Below are 24866 nucleotides of genomic sequence, written 5' to 3'. Positions count from 1 at the left end.
TTTGTATTTTTAGTAGAGATGGGGTTTCACCATGTTGGCCAGGCTGGTCTCGAACTCCTGACCTCAGGTGGTCCATTCGCCTCAGCCTCCCAAAGTTCTGGGATTACAGGTGTGAGCCACCGCACCCGGCCATCCTTTCTTAGGCTTTTGCAGTTCTCCCATTTCACCCTGGCTCCCGGAAGCGGAAACGGGAGATATCAACGCAAGGCAACCAGGTAAGGGATGGGTGTATGTAAGGGGTCAGAAAGGAGTGAGACACAAGTGTCCCCCACACCTCACTCCAAAACACACATTCAGCTTCAGCACAACCTCCTGTATTGCAGGTCAGATCCAGAGCTCCCCACAACAGACCACAGCCAGGAAAAGCAAAGGGCCCTGCAGTGCCCTGGTGGACTATGGGGAGGGTGAGTATCCTGCAGAGGAGCAGGCAGCATTAGGAAGTTGTGAAGGAGGGTAAACCCCCAACTTCCTCACTACCTGACAAAGACTCCTCTACAACAAAAGGGAGGCCAAATGCAGGCAAACAGAAATGAGACAAAGAGAAGAGGGGAAGTGCTGGCAGCGCAGTGTTCTAGTTCCATTCCTGAGGTCCTGCTCTCTGTAGGTGCCCCTTCTGGTCTGTGAGCTCCCCTGTGCCTCTCCCAAGCGCTGTACAGAAGCCCCCCTTTTCCTTCAGCCAGTTTGGTTTCTGCTGGGTTTCTGGTTTCAGAGCTTTACGCTGGTAACCATTAGGCTATGCTGCAACATGGCAGCTATGGGAGCTCTTAAAGCCCCAAACCACTGGACCTTACAAATCTCACTTCTGGGAGTCATGTTAAGAAAATAATGAGTCAGGCAAAGATTTTATCACAATAATATGAACAAAAATTTAAAAAATTGAAGGCCAGGAGTGGTGGCTCATGTCTGTGATCCCAGCACTTTGGGAGGCTGAGGCGGGTGGATCACCTGAGGTCAGGAGTTGGAGACCAGCCTGGCCAACATGGTGAAACCCCATCTCTACTAAAAATACAAAAATTGGCCAGGCGTGGTGACACATGCCTGTAATCCCAGGTACTCGGAAGGCTGAGACAGGAGAATCGCTTGAACCCGGGAGATGGAGGTTGCAGTGAGCCGAGATCATGCCACTTCACTCCAGCCTGGGTAACAAAGACTCCGTCTCAAAAATAAATAAATAAATAAAAATAAGAAATAATAATAAATTGATGTTTTATGAGGACAGGAACTTGTCTGTTTTGTTCATAGCTATACTCCCAGAACCTGGCTCAGTAAGTTATCTATTATATAAATCAATAAACCTAACATTGACCTTTGAATGGTTAAATCAGTAAGGTACATACATATAATAAGTAGTCATTAAAACTGTCTTAAATAACTTTTCAGTGACATTGGAAAATGCTCATGTCTACTAGAGAAATTTCAAAACTACATGTACATCATTTATTTCCAATGATGGAGAAAGTAGATATGCATAGGACATGATAGTGTAAGGAAATACACCAAAAATGTTTGTAAGAAACTATCTTTGGGAAGTATGATGTGGATGATTTTATTTTTACTTTTATCTCCAAACTTTCTTCAATATGTCTGTATTACTTTTCGAATTTAAAAAATACAGAGGCCAGGTGCTGTGGCTCACGCCTGTAATCCCAGCACTTTGGGAGGCTGAGACAGGCAGATCACCTCAGGTCGGGAGTTCAAGATCAGCCTGACCAACATGGAGAAACCCTGTCTCTACTAAAAATACAAAAAATTAGCCGGGCGTGGTGGCGCATGCCTGTAATCCCAGCTACTCAGGAGGCTGAAGCAGGAGAATCGCTTGAACCCGGGAGGTGGAGGTTGCAGTGAGCCGAGATCGTGCCATTGCACTCCAGCCTGGGCAACAAGAGCGAAACTCTGTCTCAATAAATAAATAAATAAATAAATAAATAAAACATAGCATTATTTTGCTTAATAGTAAATATTATATTTGGTCCTCACTTTAAAGGGTGCACAAACTGAGGGCCTGGGGACTTGCTCAGGGAAGTTCACAGAAAGCAGCCCCTTGCCTGGGAGTGGGGGTGTGCATTACACGGAAAGGACTAGAAAAGCTAGCAGAGAGACCATGGGAACTAAGGGTCCTCAGCTCTTCTGAGTCCTCTAGGAACGCCACCTTCTTCCTCTCTACTTCTGTCATTTGTTCCCTGCGGCCCCTTATATTTACTACTGATAGAAAAGGAAACATCACATTGGTGGAGCTTTTAAAAGCAAGAGACAGGTCGGGCGCGGTGGCTCACGCTTATAATCCCAGCACTTTGGGAGGCCGAGGCGGGCGGATAACCTGATGTCAGGAGTTGAAGACCAGCCTGAACAACATGGTGAAACCCCGTCTCTACTAAAAATACAAAAATTATCCGGTCGTGGTAGCGGGCGCCTGTAATCCCAGCTACTGGGGAGGCTGAGGCAGGAGAATCGCTTGAACCCGGGAGGCGGAGATTGCAGTGAGCCGAGATCGTGCCACTGCACTCCATCCTGGGCAACAAGAGTGAAACTCCGTCTCAAAAAAAAAAAGGCAAGTGACAGCAAGGGGCTGGGGGGTGCGGGATCGCGGAAGAGTCGGAGACTCGAACTTGTCCTTCTTGTATCTAGTTTGGACAAATTCGCGAGAAACACTCAAGTTCAAGTGAATAAGCCGCGGCTGACCACCCTGGTGCCGCCTCGCCGCCACCTGGTCTGAACCTCGCCGCCACCTGGTCTGAACCTACGCCAGGAGGGCCTCGTTCATCCCCGCAAATCGGCAACCTGGAGAATTCCTGTGGGCCTTGAGGGGCATCTGATGGCCAGCGCCAGAAATAATATTAGCCAGGCCTGGGCCAGGCCTCAGCCCTGAGCCCGAGGTGGCTTAGGGACGGCGACCTCAGCCTTGGGGTGGGGGGGGGGGGTGGGGGCGGCCGGGCGTCCTGGGCCGGCGGGCGCCTGGAGCTCACGCCAAGCTGCCACAGGGGCTTCCGGGACTCCAGCCCGGAGTTCCGCCCTCCAGTCGCGAGCGGAGGAGGCGGGCACGCGGCCTGGCTCGGGCCGCGGATTGGCCTGCCCCGAGATCCTGGCCACTGATTGGTCGCCCGGACGGGGCGGGGCCACGTGGCCTAAGGCGCCATCAGCCGCCCGGGAGATATCCGCCGGGGGAGAATAGGGTTGCACCATCCCAGAAGCTGCTGTTAGCTCGCCGGTCCTCGGCACGCCGCCCGTTCGCCCCTGCGCTGTCCGCCCTTCCCCTAGCGTTACTTCCGGTCCCTCGCTGAGGGGGTTCGTGCGGCTCCCAGGAGGCGTGAACCGCGGACCATGAGCGTGGGCTTCATCGGGGCCGGCCAGCTGGCCTATGCTCTGGCGCGGGGCTTCACGGCCGCAGGCAAGCGCGTGGAGGCGGGAGGCGGCTTCGCGGGCGGTCCCGAGGCCCGAGGGGGCCTCCGTCCCACCAGCATGAGCGAATGAAAGGGGAGTTTGCGTCCGGTGGGGTAGATGAGACTCTGGTTGAGCAGCAAGTGCGTCTTCTGTCCTCGTAGAGGGTTGAGGGGGAGAGGGAGACTGGCACTGTTAGGACGGCTCTGGGTTTTAGAGCCAGGGAAAGCGTGGTAACGGGCTGGGCCGCGACCCCTAGTTGAAAAGCTCTGTCTTCTGCAGGCATCCTGTCGGCTCACAAGATAATAGCCAGCTCCCCAGAAATGAACCTGCCCACGGTGTCCGCGCTCAGGGTAGGTGGAGCCGGGCGGAGTGGGAAGCGGGTGGAGGCCCAGGAAAAGGATGACCTGAGATGAAGTGAGTCTGGCCGGCCCCTGCGCCCAAGTGCTGGTCTTTGGCCGGCGGTGACCTTTACTCCAGGAACGTGACAATCTTTCCACCTTCTCTTGGGCAGCTCAATGTGGTGGGAACACCCAGGGAGACATAACTGGGGGTCAGATCCAGACACTGGAGTGGTAGAGGATTAACTGAGGTGATTATGTGATGAAAGCACCTGGCACATAGTAGGTACCTAATAAATACTCATTTTTTAAATTTTTTTTCAGACAGGGTCTTACTCTGTCGCCCAAGCTGGAGTGCAGTGGCGCGATCTCAGCTCACTGTAACCTCCGCCTCCCACCTCAGCCTCCCACCTCAGCCTCCCGAGTAGCTGGAATTACAGGCATCCACCACGCGCAGCTAATTTTTGTATTTTTGGTAGAGAATACTGTTGGCCAGGCTGGTCTCGAACTCCTGGCCTCAAGTGATCTGCCCGCCTTGGCCTCCCAAAGTGCTGGGATTACAGGGGTGAGCCACTGCGCTCAGCCATTTTTCTTAATAGACGAGTTGTATGACCTTAAAGTACTCAGCCACTTTGAGGCTATTTCCTCATTTACAACAGTGGCCACTTTGCTGTTATTCTGAGTCGTGAATGAGCATATTGGGAAGAATCTGGTGAGTTAGTTGTTCTGTTCTCCAAAAACATATTCCAAGTCTTCACCCAAAACCTGTGCTCTGTGGGAGAGGATGGCTGATGAGGCAGGTGACAGGCAGTGTCTGTGCCTAGGGTGGGCTGATGTCCCTAGCACTGGAGGGTCCTGCTTCTCAGTTTGGAGTCATAGAGGGATGGATGGCTTCCAGCCTAGCCCTGGACCACATGGAGACTGTGCGGTCCCCACGAACAAGCGGCCAGGGTTAGGATAGGGCCTGACTCAGCTGTGCTTTTAACGACCAGGTATTAGCATTTCCCTTTGCCCTGCCACTTTCACCATAGGGCCTTCTTACCTGGCAGAGGAGTGCCTTAGATACCAGAAGATTGGCAGGGAAGAAGGGCAGCCACTTCCTGGTTACCATGGAGAAGCTTGTCATGCTCCAAGCCTGTGCTTACTTGTCCAGTAGCAACAATGGGAAACTGTATTATTTGGGGTAGGGGTAGAACCCTGAGGGCATAAAGCTAAGAATTCCAGGCTGCATCTGGCAGAATCGGTTTGGCAGGGGTTCAGCTGCTCCCTGGGAGGCCTTGGCATAGCCAGGCTGCTCCAGCACTGTGAGCTGGGAGTCTCCTCTTGCAGAAGATGGGTGTGAACCTGACACGCAGCAACAAGGAGACGGTGAAGCACAGCGACGTCCTGTTTCTGGCTGTGAAGCCACATATCATCCCCTTCATCCTGGATGAGATTGGGGCCGACGTGCAAGCCAGACACATCGTGGTCTCCTGTGCGGCTGGTGTCACCATCAGCTCTGTGGAGAAGGTGCCCATCTCAGCCCTGATGCCCCTTGTGTGAGGGGAGGGTTGACCCACGAATGGCAGCTAATGGGTGGGTGCTGGTGGGAGCCGTGCCCTGGCCACTCATTCGGCTCTCTCCCTCACCCTAGAAGCTGATGGCATTCCAGCCAGCCCCCAAAGTGATTCGCTGCATGACCAACACACCTGTGGTAGTGCAGGAAGGCGCTACAGTGTACGCCACGGGCACCCATGCCCTGGTGGAGGATGGGCAGCTCCTGGAGCAGCTCATGAGCAGCGTGGGCTTCTGCACTGAGGTGGAAGAGGACCTCATCGATGCCGTCACGGGGCTCAGTGGCAGCGGGCCTGCCTATGTGAGGCCCTCATTTGCTCGCTCAGCCTTCTAGGAACCCAGGCAGCAAGATGGGCTGGCAGGCAGGCTTGGACTGGGGGTGGCGCCCACCTCTTGGGCACAGCTGGCTGGTACAGGATGCTGACCCTTGGAGCTAGTTCTAGTCATCAGAAAGCAGACCTAAGGAAAGGCCCTTCAGTGCCTATGGCCTGGGGCTTAGTGAGTGTCTCCACAGGCATTCATGGCTCTGGACGCATTGGCTGATGGTGGGGTGAAGATGGGTTTGCCACGGCGCCTGGCAATCCAACTCGGGGCCCAGGCTTTGCTGGTCAGTATCTTTCCCCCGCATGTTCAGGACCAGGGTGTAGAATGGGGGTTCTTGTGCATCACTGAACTGAGGTGGGAGTTGGTTGGGAAGCTGGGGTAGCAGTTGGGCAGGAGCAGTGGGTATGGGAAGCCTGTTCCAACGCACACCAGCAACTTTCTCCTAATGTGCCCTTCCCCATAGGGAGCTGCCAAGATGCTGCTGGACTCGGAGCAGCATCCATGCCAGCTTAAGGACAATGTCTGCTCCCCTGGGGGAGCCACCATCCACGCCCTGCACTTTCTAGAGAGTGGGGGCTTCCGCTCTCTGCTCATCAATGCAGTTGAGGCCTCCTGTATCCGAACACGGTGAGTCCATCCCGCGGACTTCTGTCCCAGACCCTTCAGTCCTGGTTGGTCCCTGGGCTGGGTTGAGCACCATTTGCGGAACCTGCTGTCTTGGGTCCCATTTAGCAGTGTTGGAGTCTGTGCTCTGTTAATAACCACAACTTAGTAGATTTTGTTTACCTAAGAGTTTGCAAGCCTTACTTCACTTAATTCTCACTGCATTTCAGATAACCAGGATTAACTTTGACTTGTAGATGGGAAGTTGAGGCTCAGAGATAATTTTCCCAAGGTCAAACAGTTAAAAAGTGATGGAGACAGGATTCTAATTTGAATCTATGACTCCAAAGCCTGTCACTCTTCCCGTGTGATCACAGATACCACTTGGGGCTCTGATCAAATGAGATAAATAAGCAAACCCTAACTTAGGTAACTAATACTTCTTAGAAGTACTAGTTGGGAAGTACTAGTTGGGAAGCGTTTGTCTTGGGGCTCTAATTTTTGGTGGTGTCACATCAACAAGCTTGAGGGTTGTGTGGATAGTGGAGACTCAAAGCTCTGGCCCCAGGGTTTATTGCCTTCCTTTAATCCTTCTGGGGTTTTGTCTGCAGAGAGCTACAGTCCATGGCCGACCAAGAAAAGATCTCCCCAGCTGCCCTTAAGAAGACCCTCTTAGACAGAGTGAAGCTGGAATCCCCCACAGTCTCCACACTGACCCCCTCCAGCCCAGGGAAGCTCCTCACAAGAAGCCTGGCCCTGGGAGGCAAGAAGGACTAAGGCAGCATCTGTCCCCTCTGTGATTCAGAGCCCTTAGTTGAGAGCCCCTGCCGCCCCTGCCACCCCCCTGCCCCGCTCCCACCATTGCCCCTCCTCAGCTGTGCAAGGAGAAAGCATGCTTAGGAAGTTTTCAGGTCCTTGTGATAAAACCTCCTTAAATCTGTTCAGACCAAGCAATGCGAGCTTCCTCTCCTGTCCCATGTTGGAAGTTGCTCTGAAGGGGTGGTAGATGCTGGAAGCCAGACACAACCCTGCGTACGCTGCTCAGTTGGTGGAGACTGGGGCTGGGACTGGAGTCAGCCCAGCTGGGAGGAGGGGCTGGGGAGGATCTGCAGCTGAAGCCCGAGGCAGGGTTGGTGTGATGCCAAGGCAAAGTGGTGAGGAGAAAACAGGAAACGGGCTTTCTCTGAATTGGTAAATGGGAAAGAAGTGAGCAACTTAAGATTGTCACAATTAATCACAAGTGTACAGGATTAGACTGGGTTTATATTTAACTCTTGCTTCATAGGTGTACCATTTAAAGAGTGTTATTTAATGCTAAGTTTAACTGCTTTAATAAAGTTTATTTTTAAATATCTTGCTTTTGTTAGGCTTAATCTTAAATAATCATCCTGGAGAACTTGATGCCCTTGTGAGGTCCTCCCTGCTTCTCTGCGAGAGCACTGTCCAAGGGCTAGAAGTAGGGATGAGAGGAATAAGGGGCCAGGCCCTTGGTCTGGATCAAGGTGTTGTTCTAGAATGAGCCAAAGCTAATGGCAGGGAAGAGCCAAGTGGGCTGCATGGGTTGTGGGTCAGCAGCCCAGAATAAAGGGGAAAGCCGTCTGCTTTGATGTGGGGCAGGCACTGTGCTGAGCATTTGATCCTCACAGCTGCCCTCTGAAGGAAGAACTGTTCTTTTCTCACCGTATAGATGTCGAGGCCAGCCAGGCGCAGTGGCTCACGCCTGTAATCCCAGCACTTTGGGAGGCCGAGCCAGGCGGATCATGAGGTCAGGAGATCGAGACCATCCTGGCTAACATGGTGAAACCCCGTCTCTACTAAAAATTAAAAAAAAAAAATTAGCCGGGCGTGGTGGTGGGCACCTGTAGTCCCAGCTACTCGGGAGGCTGAGGCAGGAGAATGGCGTGAACCCAGGAGGCGGAGCTTGCAGTGAGCCGAGATCACGCCACTGTACTCCAACCTGGGCAACAGAGTGAGACTCCGTCTCAAAAAAAAAAAAAAAAAAACCATCTGGAGGCCTAGAGGGATAAGCAACTTACCCCATTTGTGCTGCCGGTCAGTGGTGGGGCTGTCTGTGTTCTTAGCTATCAATTCTGCAGCCTCCCAGAAATAGCTGGGCATGCCATCCACATAGCCAGACATCCAGTGTTTCTCTAGGCAGGCCGGTGTGTGCCTGGTACTTGTTCCTACGAGCTGCCTGCCTGTGCAGCAGGGCTGTTTGAAAAGGCATGCGAGGCCGGGCGCAGTGGCTCATGCCTGTAATCCCAGCACTTTCGGAGGCCGAGGTGGGCAGATCATGAGGCAGAGAGATCTAGACCATCCTGGCCAACATGGTGAAACCCTGTCTCTACTAAAAATACAAAAATTAGCCAGGCATGGTGGTGTATACCTGTAATCCCAGCTACTCGGGAGGCTGAGGCAGGAGAATTGCTTAAACCTGGGAGGCGGAGATTGCAGTGAGCCAAGATCGTGCCACCGTAGTCCACCCTGGCAAAAGAGCAAGACTCCATCTCAAAAAAAAAAAAAAAAGAAAAAAGGTATGGGCATTGGCATCAGCATCAGCTCTGGGTTCAAATCTTAGATTCCCCTGCTTTCTACTCCACAGCCCGGGAGAAGTTACCAAATTTCTCACAGCCCGGGAGAAGTTACCAATTTCTCTGATCTCAGGGTTTCATCCCTTATAAATATGGAGCCCATGTTTCATCAGGGTGTTAAATGAGACCATGTGGCAGTGCTCAACAGAACATCTGGAACACCATGGCCCCTTCGTGTAAATGGTGTTCTTCCTTCACCCTCCTGCTGAGAAGAGAGTGGAGCCTTGTTCCATTCCACTGAGTCAGGGCAGCCCCAGCTCTAACTCCAAACCTGAGAGCACATGGGAAGTCATTCTTCTGGGCCAACACAGCAAGTGCAATACTAAAAACTCATTTAAAGTCCCCAGTATGTGGCCGGCCCTTTGCAGACACTTCACACATACTCTCATGGCCTTAGGAGCTGGGTATATTTTTTTTTTTCCCCAGAAAAGTGAGGCTCAAAGAGGTTAAATCCAAGTTGCCCAAAAAGATTTGAACAGACATTTCACCAAAAAAGATAAACAAATGGTGAAGAAGCACGTCAAAAGATGCTCAGCCTTAAAATAGTTATTAGGGAAATGCAAATCAAAGCCCAATGAGATACCACTTCACACCCACAAATATGACTGTTCTTGGTTTTAAAAAAAATAGCAAATGTTGGCAAGCACGTGGAGAAATTGGAACCCTTGTGCATTGCTGGTGGGGATGTATAATGATGCAGCCACTTTGGGAAACAGTCTGGCACTTCCTTAAGAGATTAAACAAGCTGGGTGTGGTGGTGCACGCCTGTAGTCCCAACTACTCGGGAGGCTGAGAAGGGAAGATGGCCTGAGCCCAGAAGTTCAAATCCAGCCTGGGCAACATAGCAAGAGCCTACCTCTAAAAAAAAGAGTTAACAAATGACTCAGCAATTTCGCTCCAAGTTATACAGTGAAGAGAAAGACTTGCGTATGAATGTTCATGACAGTGTTATTAAGTAGCCCCAAGGTAGAAACAACCCAATTGGTCATCAGCTGGTGAATGGGTAAATATGTTACACCCACACAATGGAATACTCAGCAGTAAAAGAGATGCGAGTACAGACACATGAACCTGTAAGACATGCCAAGTAAAAGAAGCCAGTCACAAAAGGCCATGTATTACATGATTCCATTTATATGAAATGTCCAAAAAATGCAAATCTATACAGACAGAAATAGAAGTTGCCAGGGACTGTGGTGGCAATGGGAAGAGCGCAGAGTTTCTGTTGGAGCCATGGCAATGATGTAAAATAAGATCACGGTGATGGTTTGCACAGCTCCATACATATGGTCATTGAATTGTACACTTAAAAGTGGGTGAATTTTATGGCATGTAAATCATACACGATAATGTTTTTAAAAATGAAATAAGCTGCCCAAGTTTTAATTAGCTAGGAAGTGGTGCCAGGATTCAAATCTGTTATCTGATACCAAATCCTATCCTCTCTGTGCTAGGCCTGCTGGCAAGTCATCCTAGATGACAAGAGATTGTTGCCTGCATTTTCCTCTCCTCCATCCCCTGCAAGACCACCCCTTTTTCCAGGCCTAAATATACCAACATACATTTACTGAGGACCTACTGACTGCCAGGCCCCATCTTATGTCTTGGTGCACGGGGTCACCCTGGCTAAGATGTGTCCTCACCTGCCGAGCACTGCTGCCCTTACCTTCTGAACTTCAGTCAGGTATGATCAGGGCCAGATGGGAATGAGGGTGGTTGAGGCCCTGGTCCTGCTTCAGGGAGAGGAGGAGAGGGCCATTCCTTGGAGAAAATTTCCAGTCATCTCTCCCCAAGACCTCAGGCCTGTCTGGGGAGGCCAGGAAGTACCCAGGACTTCCGCCTCCCAGCTTCCCACCTTCTCACAGGGCTGATGAGCCTTGGGGCCAGAGCTGCCGGCAGTCAGTGAGGGCTGGCAACTCCCCGAGGTGGTCAAGAGAGCCCCCAGTGTGTCAGGCCCCAGACAGAGGCACTAGAGCTTGCATTCTAGGCCCATCAGGTGTCCAAGCCACCAGGAAAGCAACCAGATACCCCTGCAAGAGCTGGCATTGAGGGTTAGCGCAGCCTTTTCACTAAGGATTTGCTGAATGCTCCTCTCAGTGCCCTGTGAGGCCTGGGTGTGCCCTAGGCAGTCAGACTGTCCTGGCCCAGCGCGATGGCTCACGCCTGTCATCCCAGCACTTTGGGAGGCCAAGGCAGGCAGGTCACTTGAGCCCAGGAGTTTGAGACCAGCCTGGGCAACATGGTGAAACCCCGTCTCTACAAAAAAAAAAAAAATGCAAAAATTAGCCAGGTGTTGTGGTGCATGCCTGTGGTTCCAGCTACTCGGGGTAGAGGTAGGAGGATCGCTTGAGTCCTTGAGGCGGAGGTCGCAGTGAGCCAAGATGGCATCACTGCACTGCAGCCTGGCCCACAGAGCGAGACCCTGTCTGAACAACAAAAGACTGTCCTTGTTCAGAGTTGTACAAGGGCTGAGAACAGATGTGGACACCGCAATGTGACAAATACGGGAAGCGAGAGAAGGCAGCCTGGAGTGGACTGAAAGTAGGGGAGCGTGCTGTTGGGAAAGACAGCCTCAGCCTTTCTGCCCCCTCTGAAAGGCCACATGAGAATGGGCCTGGAACATTCCTCACAAAGAGCTAAAGTGTTCTCAAGCCTGTGGTGGACTTGTCACTTTGCATGGGCGCGTCTTTCCTGTTTAGACTTGATGTATATTCCTTTAGTCTGCTTAAGTGTGCATCACATGGCACCTGGCCAAGCCCACCACTATATCTGTTCCCACTGGGGAGGGGCAAGGTCCTTCTGCTGCAGCACAGAGAGGTGTGTGCAGGCCCATGGCCCTGGGTTACCGCTGGGAGGGACCTGCTGGCCATGGGGACCAACACCCACCACTGAAGCTGTGTTCGCTGCTCTTTTCTAGTATGAGTAAAGTGGAGTAGCCCGGGCTTGACTGTGCTGTTGCCCCTGGCAACTCCAGTTACGAGACTCAGTGAGCAGAAGTGCTAGGATTTCTGCTCCTGATAATAGGCAACAGATGCCACTTGCGCACAGGAACCAGCCCCCTCTCCCTGTTCCCAGCTCCCTGCACTGCCCTCTTCTCAGGACCCCTGAGCAGCATAGCCTTAAGTACCCCCCAATCCCGATTTCCCAGTGGGTGTCTCTTAGGACCCCAGAAAAACGCTTCCTTACCTATTGCCTCCATGTTACTCTCCTATAAAATGGGGCAAACTATTGCCCCAACTATTAATGATCATTACTTCGGGGAAGTAGGATTGAGATTGACTTTTCACTTAATTTCTTGATTTCTTTATTTTACTTTAGATTGTTGATTGCAGTAAGCCGGCATGATTTTGGTGGTTAAAAGATCTAAAGATTTTTCCCACTGCTCCCACTCGTGGGGCATGCTAGAAAACAAATGCACCCTCCCTCATCTCCTGCATCCTTCTTTCATCCCCCTGTCTGTGCGTGTCCCCTGCAACTGTTACTAAGCAACGCTCTCCAAAGAAACACCGAGAGTCAGCCTCAGCCCAAGGGGCTGGCTGCGCTTTCCTTCACTGTTTCAAGCAGGAGAGCTAGTCCTTTCTGCACATCTGAGCAAAATACTTGTAAAGCCTTGACTTGTATTCACTTTTACCAATAAACTAGATGGAACACAGAAGTGGATATTGTGATTATATGAAGTCCATAGCATTTTGAAAATGAAATACCCCGCTTTTCAAGGTCCAAGCCAGTGTGGGTAGTATACTACCTTTATGTAAGAAAGGGGGAAAATACAAAATTGGATAAAGAAATTCTAGAAGGATATACCAGAAACCACTAAAACAGTACCTGGTTGTGGGGGGCAGTGGGAATGTGGCAGATAGGGGCAGGGCAGGAGGGAGACCTTTCATTACAAACCTCTTTGTATAGTATTGATTTAGGAATCACATAAGGGGATTGCTTAGTTACAAAATGCATTTGGACAGCCTTTAGAGGGGCCAGGCTGCCCTGGCCATGCGGTACTGAAGCAGGATGCGTGGCCCCACGTGGTCAGTCAAGGTGGGAGCACGTCCTGTGTGCCCTACTTTGGCCTCGAGCTGTGTCTTGGACACTCCTGCAGGAACACTTAGCATGAGAGCTGGGCTGCAGGCCATCTTCCCAATCCTAGTGCATGGTACCCAATAAACACAGCTGAACAAATGCTTGAATGAATGACAGCTCTTCTGCTTGAATGTCAGGTTGGGCTGTTGCCTGAGTGCCCAACGAGGTCTCTGGTGTATTGGGGTGAAAACTCTGTGCAACTCCTAGACTGTCCTTGGACCTGGTCATTCCTGGTTTGGTTTTTTAAAGTATTTATTTTTTTGTTTATTTATTTACTTATTTATTATTTTTTGACACGGAGCTCAGGCTGGAGTGCAGTGTAGATCTCTGCTCACTGCAACCTCCACCTCCCTGGATCAAGCAATTCTCTAATTTTTTTGGTATTTTTAGTAGAGACGGGGCTTCCCCATGTTGGCCAGGCTGGTCTCAAACTCCTGACCTGGTGATCTGCCTGCCTTGGCCTCCCAAAGTGCTGGGATTACAGGCATGAGCCACTGCGCCTGGCCCTGGTTTGTTTTTGACTTTCTTTTATTCAATCAGCAGGTGTTGATTGAGCACTGAAGGGCTGTGCTTGTGCCCGATTGGCTGGGATGTGGGGAAGCCTAGTACGTTTCTGTCCTGGCCACTTTGCCTCATGGGTGCTCTATGAGTGTGCCTGCTCCTCCCCCCGTGTGTTGCCCAAGAGCCTGTTCAGTACATGGATACTTCAGAGGCATCCTCCCAATTCTTACAGCTTTAGGCTTCTTCAGGTAACAGGGAAGTACCTCAGGAATATTCAAGTAAAAAGGGATTGGGATGGTTATCAAATTTATAACAGTTTTCCATTTTAGGAAGGATTATGTGGATAAATGTTCTGTCCTCCTTGAAAATAAGTGACTGAAAACACATGCTGGTGGGCTGCAGCAGAGCATGTGAGGTTTGGCTGGACATCAGAGACTTGTCAATTGAGGTACTTTGATATTGAGCGACCACGAGAGGCTGAGAAACCAGTGTGGGGTCCGGCGTGGTGGCTCACGCCTATAATCCCAGCACTTTGGGAGGCTGAGACAGATGGATCACTTGAGGTCAGGAGTTTGAGATCAGCCTGGCCAACATGGTGAAACCCCGTCTCTACTAAAAATACAAAAGTTAGCCCAGTGTGGTGGTAGGTGCCTGTAATCCCAGCTATTCAGGAGGCTGAGGCAGGAGAATCACTTGAACCCGGGAGGCTGAGGTCGCAGTGAGCCGAGATCGCTCCACTGCACTCTGGCCCAGACGACCGAGCAAGACTGCATCTCAAAAAAACAAAACAAAACAAAAAGAAACCAGTGGGGGTATGTACCTCTCAGTTACTGCTCCACCCTGAATTCTAAGATATGTGAATATGAAATTAGAATTTCATGTGTAGTATCTTTTCAATTAAATTACAATAAAGATTGCTTTCCTTCTGCCAGTGTAGTTAATGAACTTCTGGTAACAGTAAGAGCAAAGGCCTGAGTTCTAATCCTCACTGCTCAGGTGACTTCAGGTAAGTCATTAGTCTGCTTTGGTTTCAACTTATTATTTCATTAAAATGGGAAATAGATAATACTTGCTCATCCTTCTCTCAGGGTGGTCAGTTGCTTTGGGCAAAGCCTTTGGGTAACCTGGGTCACTGTGCAGCCGGGAGGCCCCTGGGCAGGTGACCATGTTGCTTTGACACAATCCCTCCCCCTTCTACAATCCCACACACTGCAAGCTTTCCTCTTTCCTAAGATGGGAAGCCCAGCCAATGCTCCTTGTCAAGCAACTTCACATATATGACTTGAGGCGTAGAAGCTTTAAAAACAAACACGTGTCTTCTTTTTATGCACCAGATCTGGTTTTACGCATGCAAGGCCCATGATCTCATTTAATCTTTAATAATTATGATGTAGTTATTTGGAAAACTCAGGCTTGGACAAGTTGGGAGCACAGCCAGTGAGGGGAAAGGCCTGGGTGCCAATCCAGGTATGTCTAAAACCAAGACCCGTTTTACAGTGCACTGACCTGACCTTCCATGTGCAGGCACTGCTGCCCTCACTGCTCTCACTGAGGGGTCCTCTGGCTGGAAAACAAGGAATGATCCCCCAAAACTAGGCTAGGTGAGAAGGTGGAGATGTAGGCAGAGGGTGATGCTGTGGGGATCCCTGGATAGGTGCCTGGGAAGAAGGCCCAAAAAACAGGGGGGGATGGGGACTGGCCTCCATATAGCCTGCAGTGGTGTGGGGACCTTGCCTGAGTCACTGGGAAACCCACTCAGAGAAGCAAATATTTTAATTTTTTTGTTTTGTAGAAACAAATATAACCATCATTACTATCTGCTCTTTGAATTAAGGGAAAGGAACAAGAAATGAGCATTTATAAAGTTATGCCATTGCCCGGATCCCCGCATAATGCTCCCTTTGCCCTAAACAGTGTATCTTTCTGCTGAACCCCACGGCCTTCCCCAGTGCCCCGCTGTCTTGCTCACGCCCCATCTCCGGGGCTGCCTCTTCTCTCCCCAGCTCCTTCCTGGGCCATTGGTCCTTGGCATCCTGGACTGTCAGTTATTTTCTCATGAACACAAGTCTTTGCTCTATAGTAGCGCTTCTGGGCTGACAAGGGGCTGTCACTCGTCGCATCCAGCAGGAGTCCCACGGCGATCTGGAGGCACGTAGGGAGGGGGCATCCCCATCCCTGTCCCCATCGCCATTCCCGTCCCCCATAGGAAGAACTCAAGGCACCCATCCAAGATGACTGGGGAAGCCGGTGTCAAAATCTCAGCCTCCAGACTCGAGTCTTCTTTCCCGTTTTCCCCACTCAGCTCACAGAAGAGTTCCTAAGAAGACCCTTGAGGACAGCATTGTATTTTTAGTAAAGACGGGGTTTCACCATTTTGGCCAAGATGGTCTCTATCTCTTGACCTCGTGATCCGCCCGCCTAGGCCTCCCAAAGTGCTGGGATTACAGGCGTGAGCCCCCGCGCCTGGCTAGTGGTTCCTAAAAAACGTCCCTTCGCGGCTCCAAGCGGTCCCGGCCGCCCGCGGCCGAGGAGGACCTCCCCGCGCCGCCAGAGGGCGCCAGGCGCCACAGCCGAACTCCCCAGGCCGCCAGCCCCGGCCTGGTTGGAGAGAAACCGGGTGCAAACCCCAGCCCCGGCTGGGTGCCCACCTGCTAGTTGTGGCAGGTCATTTCCTGAGTTCACATAGCAAAGCAGCTCAGAGTTGGATCTAGGGGAAAGCGCTGGAATCCACGCTCCGCTTCCCCACGCAGCCTCGCCTGTGGCCCCAGCAGCGCCCTCTGCACATGGGAGGTCGGGCAGCTTAGCGGAGCTCCCCGGCCAGGGACTCAGGCCTCACCAGGGGCCCGCGTGTCCAGCCTGACGTGGGCCATCTGAATCGAAATACACCCATCTTGCTCAAGACGAGGCCTAGAGAGTCAGTCACTTTAACGACAGGTGACCTTGGGTGAGTTATTCAACCTCCAAGAACTTATCTGTCAAGTGAGGGTGAGAAGGATCCCCACCTCATGGGCTGAGATGAGGATTCAATGAGATAAAGGCTGGGCTTGGTGTCTGGCAGGACAGCGCTAATAACCAGAGGTTGCTGTGGTGTTGATTATAACTGTTAGGGAAACTGAGGCCTGGAGAGGTTAACTGGAAAGACAGGACCCAGCACCGGAAGTGGGTCAGGCTCCACTCTGGGAGGGTTCAGGGTCCTTGTTCCCCAGGGCACCGCTGGCTCCAGACCTGGTTCCCAAACCTAATTGATCATCTGCCTTTTTAAATTAAGGGAAATAGAGAGGAAACTAGCATTTATTGAGTTCTGTTTCCAACCTTATTACCCTTGACTCCTCAAAATGCTTTTTCTATCTGAAAACCAGACCTGTGCTTAACTGTACAACCCACTGTTACTAGTCACCTCATTTTCTCCACCAGAAATGCCTTCTCCTTGTCTTTTCTGCCTCTCTGAATGTGACAGACCCTCATCTCCCACCCCAAAGCTTGGAATCAGAATCTCTGGAGGTTCCACTGGAGATGCTGACCCTCAGCTGGGTGTGGGGCCACTGCCTGTGGAGCTTGATGAATCCTTGTTAAATTGAATTGAGCTGGTTGTGGCCTGCAGCCAACATTCCTAGGTGTCCAAAGAGATAGACCAGAAAGAAGGTGAAGAGGAAACACTGTAATTACCAGTCAATATATATTTATTTAGATCATGGGCACATAAAATGCAAATTATTCATGGACCAGGACCCCCTATGTTAGGGTGTCAATATCCCGACACATTCAGGGCCAGCCCTGGGAAATGGAGTTCCAGGCAAAGAGAAGCCTCAGGGCATTGTGGAGGTAAGGCTGGTGGGGAGGATAGAGAGAGAAGCTGGACTTCCTATAAACTTGAACTTCCTCTGCTGTGTAAAAATTCAGTGGGGTGAGGTGCAAAAAGCACCTGCCTCAACCCGCCCTGCTTGCATGCACACATTCATTCATTTATTTCAATCCTCACCTATTGAGTGTCCACTGTGGGCCAGACCGGGTGCTACGCATACAATCAGACCTGATCACTTTATTCCCCACTGGAGTTCCTGGTCTGGTGGAGGAAATCAGGATACAAAGAAGTGATTGCAAATTCCATATGACAAGTTAATAAATGGTGGCAGTGAGGAGCACTGGGAGAAGGGAGGAGGTGTTCAGGAAGACTTGGCAGAGAATGTCAGGTTGGACATGGGTTAGAAAAGATGAGGGGAGTTTTCCAGCTGGAGAAGTGTTAAAGGACCAGGGTGCTGAGGAGTGGCACCCTGGGTGATGGGCACTGCTTGTGCCCAGGTAGGGTGGCGGGAACCAGTGCCCAGTGTTGGTAAAGTCCTTCATATGATGGAGTGAAGAGTGAGTGTGTGCTGGGTGTGTGTGTGACTGGACAACAGGTGAGTCTGAACAATGAAGATGCTGGACTTGGCACAGTGGAAGGCAGCTGAGGCAGCAAGAGGTTAATTTGTTTTGTTTTGTTTTGTTTTGTTTTGTTTTGTTTTGTTTTGTTTGAGAAAGTCTTGCTCTGTTGCCCAGGCTGGAGTGTAGTGGTGTGATCTCAGCTCACTGCAACCTCTGCTTCCTGGGTTCAAGCGATTCTCCTGCCTCAGCCTCCTGAGTAGCTGGGACCACAGGTGTGTGCTACCACGCCTGGCTAATTTTTGTATTTTTAGTAGAAATGGGGTTTCACCATGTTAGCCAGGCTGGTCTCGAACTCCTGACCTCAGATGATCCGCCTGCCTCGGCTTCCCAAAGTGGTGGGATTACAGGCATAAGCCACCGTGCCCAGCCTAAGAGGTTTTTAAGTAGGGAGGGATCAGCCCTAATTTTTGCTTAAGAAAGAAAACTCCAGAAATGTTGGAAAACAGTGCCTTGAGTCTTGCAGCCATTTGGGTATAAAAGATGAGGGAAGCCAGTTGAAGAGGGTAATCCACAAGGCTTAAAGAGCCTTGGCTTCCCCCAGTGTATCCCCCTAATATCAATTGCTTGTTTAAAATTCAATTTGTTTAATGCACAGATAAGCTAAAACCTCCACCGTCTACAGGGTTCCTGTTGTTTGCTCAGTGCAGAGCACAATGGCTATTGTTTAGCAGGTATTTAATGAGGATTGTTGAGCCATGAGATGAGGGCAGGTGAGAGAGAAGCAGGTGTGGAAGCCAGGCCAAGGCTTCTGCTTGGTGACACCATTAACTGACCTGGAAAATCCTGGAAGGGGATAGGTTTGAGAGGAATAATAAAAATAAAAGCTGCGTTCATGGAGTGCCAGATACAGGTCAAAGCTGGAGCTGGACTTCCCCAACCTTCCCCAGTCCCCACAAACAACCCTATCCAGTGCGTGTTTCTATCTGACGCCCGTTTTCACAAATGAGAAAAATGAGGCTCATTGGGGTTGCCCAGGGCCGAGATGAGATGAGCAGCATGGCTGGAGCCTGCGCTGAACCCCATTGCCATCGGGAGTTCCTCTTTAAGGGGAGGTGGGCCCCCCATTTTCAGACCGTAGGGAAAGAGGCAGGGCCTCAGAAGAATCTGGAGGCACAGATGTGGGTTTGCAACCTGGCACTGTGACTGTGGACTTGGAGCTGAGTCCACATCAGTGTAGGCAGAGTGGCACATCACATTCCTGGGCTGCTACAGCAAAACTGTAATGACCAGGCCTGGGTCGCTTAAGCAACAGAAATGTGTTTGTCAACCTTGGCACGGTGGTGGCTCATGCCTATAATCCCAGCTACTCAGGAGGCTGAGGTAGGAGAATTGTTTGAGGCCAGGAGTTCTAGACAAGCCTGGGCAACATGGTGAGACCCCTGTCTCTACCAAAGAAAGCCAGGTATGGTGGCTTATGCCTGTAATCCCAGTGCTTTGGGAGGGAGGCCAAGGTGGGAGGATTGTTTGAGGACAGGAGTTTGAGACCAGCCAGGGCAATACAGCAAGACCCCATCTCTACAAAAAATAAAAGAAAAAGAAATTTATTTTCTCACAGTTCTGGAGGCTAGAAGTTCAAGACCAGGGACACCAGTCATACTGGATTAGAGTCCATCCTAGTGACCTCATCTAACTTAATTTTCTCTTTAAAGGCCCTATGTCCAAATAGACACATTCAGAGGTACTGAGGGTTAGAGTTTAAGCATATGAATTTTGGGGGTCCACAATTCAGCCCATGTCAAGCAGCCTGGAGATCATGAAGAGTCAAGGGATGAGGGAGAAGAAGGAGACAGAGGGCCTGGGGAAGCAGGGGGAGGATTTCAGCACAAGGGTGGAGTGGAGCCTCCAGCTGGCCTGGGTGAGAGGGGCAGGGTGAGGAGGGCCACGTTCCTGAACCCAGACCCCTGGATAGGAGGATGCTCAGGAGAAGAATGAGGCTGCATGGCAAATGCACCCGTCAGGCAGACCTACTTCAGACGAAGGTCAGTGTGGCTGTGGAGGCCCCGCTGGTCATCCCCAGCCAGGGCTGTGGTGTCTTCATCATGGAGAATACAGGCCGCTCCCCAGAGCTGTGGTGTGCAGGGCTCAGGCCGCACTGACCCCTTCCCTGCTGGGCTGAGCAGCTGGAAATCCAGGCTGCAGGGGAGCCATTTCCTCAGGGAGCCCTCCCACTCCTCACACAGAGTCTGCTTCAGGCCCAGGCCACACCTGGAACAAAGGCGGTCACGACCACCCCTGAACCCCTGGCCACAGGACCCAGAGCCCCAGTTCAACCCCCACTGTGAACCACTGTGAGCACTCCTCATCTTGCCCACCTCTGAAGGGGCCAGCTTTGTTCTTTTCCTTCTCCTTGCCGCCTGTCTGGAATCGGCCTGTGGCGGCTCCCATCTGGTGGCCAAAGGACCTTGGGCTGTAAGATAGGAAAAGGCTGAACTCTGTTGTTGGACACATTCTGGGGGCTTCCAGGTACCAAGCAGGAGGATCAAACCTTCCCAGGGACCAGCATCTTTCATTAACAAAATCCAAAACCATGTCACAGGACCCTCAGGAGCCTACTCCGTGGGCATGGGGCAGCCACAGAGCCAGCCTTGGCCTCGGTGCTGCCCTCAGTCAGCTCGTGGTCCGGGAAGGGATCATACACACTGCCACAGTCACAGCCTCACACTTACACATGGACACACCCACACATGCTCCCACACGCATGTGCACACACACACACGCACACACACACACCATAGGATGCTTCTGTTTTATTTGACACCAAACTAACACATCTTGGAAACTTCTTATGGAAACACCAACAGTAAACATGGAAAGTGGAAATAAAACACACACCCGAGATGATTCCTAATTAGCGGAAACAGCCCTAGTCTAGATCCAGAGACCCTGGAGGGACACGAACGTGGTGCAGGTCAAATTCCCCGTTGTCCAGCGAGGGTCATGGGCTGCCCAAGGCCACACAGCTCACTGCCCTGTGCCATGTCCAATCCCCTTGCAGCCTCCCTCAGCTCATGCTCAAGTCACACAGGCCTCCCCAGGCCTGCCCTGTCAATGCTGACCCACAAACAGGCTCACATAATGCTCCCTCCCAGGGGCACAGCAGCCTTGGCTTTGATCTGAGGTGGGGCTTTCCTGGCCTGAAAGTTGATGTGGCCAGCCTTCAACCTGTCCCCCATATCACCGTCTGCTTTTGGAGACCCAGGGCAGGAAGCTGAAGCCTTATGTGGGAAAATGAGGGCTGGTCCCACGGCAGCCCTGGGGACCAGCTCTCTCCTTCGCTTTATGTATTATTTCATTTTTAATTACAGAACCAAGGTAGCAGAGCCTCTCAGGCTGAGCCAGAAAATAATCAGCTTTTTAATTTGATTTTTGTTCTCCCAAAGGAGAACAAGGGGCTCCAGGGGCACCATGAGGCCTGGACCTTGGAGATATGGTTAGATCCTCTAACCTATAGATGCTTGACTCCAGGCTGGCTCACCATCTACAGTGGGGTGACCTCCGCAGGCCCCAGTTTCTCTCTCTTTAAAATGAGCGGTTGGACCAAAGCTTCCTCTCAGGTCCCTTCCAGCACCAAGCCTCTCTGATCTCTGAGCAGTCCTCACCCCACATGCGTGGCTTTGCAAATTTTCCGACCTCTCTTCCATTTCTGAGCTTTCATCTTTTTCTGTAACGGCATAAAAATATCCTCCTTACCTCCCTGTCCCTGATTCTAGCGCCAGTCTGTGGCTGTCCAGGGGTGGGGTGGGGAGGGTCTCTTCCTGCCTCTCTCAGTTCTTTTCTGTCCCCTCTGGCTTTCCCCTTCTCTCCCCAAACCTCTAGCCACTAGTTATTTCCCAGAGTTTTTCCTCTGTGCTCCCCTCAGTATCATCTCTGCTCTTGTACCTCTGTAGCTGTGCCTGGCCATCTACTCTCCCTGCTCTCTTACCTCCTGCCAAAGACCCCACATCTGACCTTCTGCAGAGTCCTGGATGTGGCCCCTGGACTTCCCATCAGTTCTTCAGACTGTCCCTGTCCAATCTTCTTTCCACTCCCCACTCCCGCACCTGCCTGTCCTCCCTTCCCTGCCTCAATGAATGGTGCCCCCTCCACCCTGCCTGATCTATGCCATGGGTCCAGGCAAGTGCAAGGTCTGGCCCTGGGACCAGAAGGATGGGCCTTGACTCAGGGCGAGGAAGGACCCTCTTCCTAGCTTCCCCCAAATAGCTTGATCCACCTCCCTTCTCAGTTACACTGTGCAGCTTTCTTGCTCTGAAAGGTTGGAGACATTTACTGTTTTTGAAATTGTAGGATCTCTGTTCCTCAGACCCAAGGTGCAGAATGTCTTGGTTATGAGTCGGTGACAAAGCCCTGCCAAATCCAGGTCTCCAGACTCCACCCCAGGGGTCTCCCTGGTCTGACACTGCAAGCTGTGCTCCTCCCCAACCTCCCAACATCTGGACTCGCTGGGAGCTCCCTGGAGCTGGAAGCATGGGCTGGTTTCAGCAAGGACCTGCTGTCACTGGGCTGAGGAGGACAGGCCACTGGTGCTGCCCCCTCACAGGAAGGTCCATGAACAATGCACTAGGTGCCTTCCTGTCAGAAGATGCTCTGGGAATTCCTGGGTGGCCAGAGCCCTCCACCCTGGGTCTAGGGAAACCAACCCTTAAAAGCTAGCCAGGCGCGGTGGCTCACGCCTGTAATCCTAGCACTTTACAGGGCTGAGGCGGGTGGATCACTTGAGGCCAGGAGTTCAAGACCAGCTTGGCCAACATGGTGAAACCCCGTCTCTACTAAAAATACAAAAATTAGCTGGGCATGGTGGTGGGCGCTTGTAGTCCCAGGTACTCGGGAGGCTGAGGCAGGAGAATCCCTTGAACACAGGAGGCGGATGTTGCAGTGAGCCCAGATTGCACCACTGCACTCCAGCCTGGGCAACAGAGCAAGACTCCATCTCTAAATAAATGAATGAATAAATAAATAAATAAATAAATAATAGCTTATTTCCAGAGAAGGAGATGGAGTGGAGCCCACTTCTTATTAAGACACAGCCGGCAGATGCTGGTCAGCCCAAGAGGGGAGAACTAACTGGTGTTCTGTGTGGACTCTGAATCCTGTTCCTTGCCAGAGCTGAGCCTTGGATGGCACAGAAACTTCCCAGTCCACACCAAGGATTGCTGACTGAGAAACAATCCGGCCTGCAGGCATGGGCCTGGGGCTCAGAGGGCTCTGGACAGCTGACTTCTGGTTGGGAAACTGATTACCCTTCTCAGTCCTGGGAGACCTTCCTTGGCAGAGGCCTGGCAGCATTTAGCACCAATGGGGGTTAATCCAGAGAGAAGTCCCAAGCACCCCTTTTCTCTCTCCTAGTGATTTAGAGCTGAAAGGAATCATCTCGTCTATCTACCTCATTTTACAAAAGAATTGAAATCCAGAGTTCACCAAGCTTGCACAGTGAGAATGCCCATCTTTTAATTCATTCGACAAATATTGATGAAGTGTCTACCATGATACCTCATTGTGCTGGTCATTGTTCTAGGCACAGGGACATAGCAGGAAACAGGTTAGACAAATTTTCTGAGCTCCTGGAAGCAACGCTCCAGCGGGGAGGCAGTCAATAGATGGTTAAAGAAGTGGAGAAGAAAATCTTAGATAGTACTAAGTACTATGAGGAAGATAAACCAGAATGATAAAGAGAGATAGTAATTGGTAGAGGCAGGAAGGAACATGTAGATATGTATGCATGGATAAGAGAGGCCTTTCTGAGGAGGTGACATCCGATCCTGAATGATAAGAACAAGTTAACACGCAAAGATCTGGGCACAGACCCTTGCAAGTAGAGAGAACAGCTTGTGCAAAGGCCCTGAGGTGCAACTGGCATGTCACGTTTGGGGAGAGTAAAGAGGCCTGTGTGCATTGTTCTCAGGGAGCAAGTGAGGAGAGGAGGAGAGGTAGGACCTGAGGTGGAGCAGGCAAACCTGGCCCAGGTCAGCTGGGCTTTAAGGACATGGGAAGAAATTTGAATTTTATCCAACGTGTAATAAGAAGTCACTGGAGGTTTGTTTTTTTTCTCTAGTAGACTTTATTTTTTAGAGCAGTTTTAGGTTCACAGCAAAATTGAGAGGAAAGCACAAAAAATTCCTATATACTCTCTCCCCCTATATGTATAAACTCCCCCACTATCAATGTCCCCACCAGCCTGGTACAGTTGTTAAATTTGATAAACCTACACAGACACATCATTTTGTTTGTTTTTTTGTTTGTTTGTTTTTTGAGACAGAGTCTTGCTCTGTCACCAGGCTGGAGTGCAGTGGCACAGCCTCGGCTCACTGCAACCTCTGTGCCCTTCAGGGTTCAAGGGATTCTCCTGCCTCAGCCTCCCGAGTAGTTGAGATTACAGGTGCCCACCACCACACCCAGCTAATTTTTGTATTTTTAGTAGAGATGGGGTTTCACTGTGTTGGCCAGGCTGGTCTCAAACTCCTGACCTCAGGTGATCCACTCGCCTTGGCCTCCCAAAGTGCTGGGATTACAGGCATGAGCCACCACGCCCGGCCACAGACACATGATTATAACCCAGAGTTCAGAGTTTACATTAGGGTTGGCTCTTGGCGCACATTTGATGGTTTGAACAAATGTATAAACGCATGTGTCTACCAGTACAGTAACACACAGAGTAGTTTCACTGCCCTAAAAATTCTCTGTGCTCTGCCGGTTCATCCCTTCCTCCTCTCTAGCCCCTGGAAACCACACATTTTTTTACTGTCTCCATAGCTTTGTCTTTTCCAGAATATCATATAGTTGCAATCATATATATATGGCCTTTCCAGATTGACTTCTTTCACTTAGTAGTATGCATTTAAGATTCCTTCATGTCTTTTCATGGCTTGACAGCTCATTTTTTTTTTAGCATTGAATAATATTTCATTGTTTGGATGTACCACAGTTTATTTACCCATTCACCCAATGAAGGACATCTTCCAAGTTTTGGCAATTATGAATAAAGCTACCATCAACATCTGCGTGCAGGTTCTTGTGAGGACATAAGTTTCCAGCTCATATGGTACTTGGTAAGTACCAAGGAGCGTGATTGCTGGATCATTTG

General features: G+C 50.9%; 1 protein-coding gene and 1 non-coding gene across 3 annotated transcripts, besides 10 other annotated features; both read left to right on the top strand.

The window, feature by feature from the left end:
- Positions 2633-3282: an enhancer, noted in NCBI's record as "H3K27ac-H3K4me1 hESC enhancer chr1:226111847-226112496 (GRCh37/hg19 assembly coordinates)". NCBI's record gives its function as "activates a minimal SCP1, AML or CMV promoter by ChIP-STARR-seq in naive and primed H9 embryonic stem cells {active_cell/tissue: H9 hESC(naive and primed)}" and the evidence as "EXISTENCE:reporter gene assay evidence [ECO:0000049][PMID:30033119]".
- Positions 2833-2912: a silencer, noted in NCBI's record as "silent region_1866". NCBI's record gives its function as "represses an Ori minimal core promoter by ATAC-STARR-seq in GM12878 lymphoblastoid cells {active_cell/tissue: GM12878}" and the evidence as "EXISTENCE:reporter gene assay evidence [ECO:0000049][PMID:35858748]".
- Positions 3053-3142: a silencer, noted in NCBI's record as "silent region_1865". NCBI's record gives its function as "represses an Ori minimal core promoter by ATAC-STARR-seq in GM12878 lymphoblastoid cells {active_cell/tissue: GM12878}" and the evidence as "EXISTENCE:reporter gene assay evidence [ECO:0000049][PMID:35858748]".
- PYCR2 (pyrroline-5-carboxylate reductase 2) lies at positions 3179-7551 on the top strand. Of its 2 annotated transcripts, NM_013328.4 has the most exons (7): positions 3179-3385; positions 3658-3728; positions 5046-5225; positions 5350-5571; positions 5785-5877; positions 6058-6221; positions 6809-7551. In NM_013328.4, exons 1-7 carry the CDS (start codon positions 3319-3321, stop codon positions 6972-6974), a joined length of 963 nt encoding a protein of 320 aa, NP_037460.2. In that variant the 5' UTR covers positions 3179-3318; the 3' UTR covers positions 6975-7551. The 2 variants fall into 2 exon arrangements, with proteins under 2 accessions (NP_037460.2, NP_001258610.1); NM_001271681.2 differs by lacking the exon at positions 5350-5571.
- Positions 3453-3582: a silencer, noted in NCBI's record as "silent region_1864". NCBI's record gives its function as "represses an Ori minimal core promoter by ATAC-STARR-seq in GM12878 lymphoblastoid cells {active_cell/tissue: GM12878}" and the evidence as "EXISTENCE:reporter gene assay evidence [ECO:0000049][PMID:35858748]".
- Positions 5287-5349, top strand: MIR6741 (microRNA 6741). The gene has a single exon (NR_106799.1). It is a non-coding gene; the product is annotated as a microRNA 6741 (primary transcript).
- Positions 10248-11190: an enhancer, noted in NCBI's record as "H3K27ac-H3K4me1 hESC enhancer chr1:226103939-226104881 (GRCh37/hg19 assembly coordinates)". NCBI's record gives its function as "activates a minimal SCP1, AML or CMV promoter by ChIP-STARR-seq in primed H9 embryonic stem cells {active_cell/tissue: H9 hESC(primed)}" and the evidence as "EXISTENCE:reporter gene assay evidence [ECO:0000049][PMID:30033119]".
- Positions 11191-12135: an enhancer, noted in NCBI's record as "H3K27ac-H3K4me1 hESC enhancer chr1:226102994-226103938 (GRCh37/hg19 assembly coordinates)". NCBI's record gives its function as "activates a minimal SCP1, AML or CMV promoter by ChIP-STARR-seq in primed H9 embryonic stem cells {active_cell/tissue: H9 hESC(primed)}" and the evidence as "EXISTENCE:reporter gene assay evidence [ECO:0000049][PMID:30033119]".
- Positions 15815-16004: a silencer, noted in NCBI's record as "silent region_1863". NCBI's record gives its function as "represses an Ori minimal core promoter by ATAC-STARR-seq in GM12878 lymphoblastoid cells {active_cell/tissue: GM12878}" and the evidence as "EXISTENCE:reporter gene assay evidence [ECO:0000049][PMID:35858748]".
- Positions 16145-16194: an enhancer, noted in NCBI's record as "active region_2637". NCBI's record gives its function as "activates an Ori minimal core promoter by ATAC-STARR-seq in GM12878 lymphoblastoid cells {active_cell/tissue: GM12878}" and the evidence as "EXISTENCE:reporter gene assay evidence [ECO:0000049][PMID:35858748]".
- Positions 16205-16264: an enhancer, noted in NCBI's record as "active region_2636". NCBI's record gives its function as "activates an Ori minimal core promoter by ATAC-STARR-seq in GM12878 lymphoblastoid cells {active_cell/tissue: GM12878}" and the evidence as "EXISTENCE:reporter gene assay evidence [ECO:0000049][PMID:35858748]".
- Positions 20220-20993: an enhancer, noted in NCBI's record as "H3K4me1 hESC enhancer chr1:226094136-226094909 (GRCh37/hg19 assembly coordinates)". NCBI's record gives its function as "activates a minimal SCP1, AML or CMV promoter by ChIP-STARR-seq in primed H9 embryonic stem cells {active_cell/tissue: H9 hESC(primed)}" and the evidence as "EXISTENCE:reporter gene assay evidence [ECO:0000049][PMID:30033119]".

The sequence above is a fragment of the Homo sapiens genome, chromosome 1 (genome assembly GCF_000001405.40).
Source record: "Homo sapiens chromosome 1, GRCh38.p14 Primary Assembly".
In the NCBI taxonomy this organism is placed as follows: domain Eukaryota; kingdom Metazoa; phylum Chordata; class Mammalia; order Primates; family Hominidae; genus Homo; species Homo sapiens.
Note: the sequence above shows the minus strand (reverse complement) of the source record. Positions and strands in the feature narration are given on the sequence as shown.

Coding starts and splice junctions, on each gene's coding strand:
- PYCR2 (NM_013328.4), top strand. CDS start 3,319: ATGAGCGTGGGCTTCATCGGGGCCGGCCAGCTGGCCTATGCTCTGGCG. Junction 5,572..5,784: donor GTGGCAGCGGGCCTGCCTAT/GTGAGGCCCTCA, acceptor GTGTCTCCACAG/GCATTCATGGCTCTGGACGC. Junction 6,222..6,808: donor GCCTCCTGTATCCGAACACG/GTGAGTCCATCC, acceptor TTTTGTCTGCAG/AGAGCTACAGTCCATGGCCG.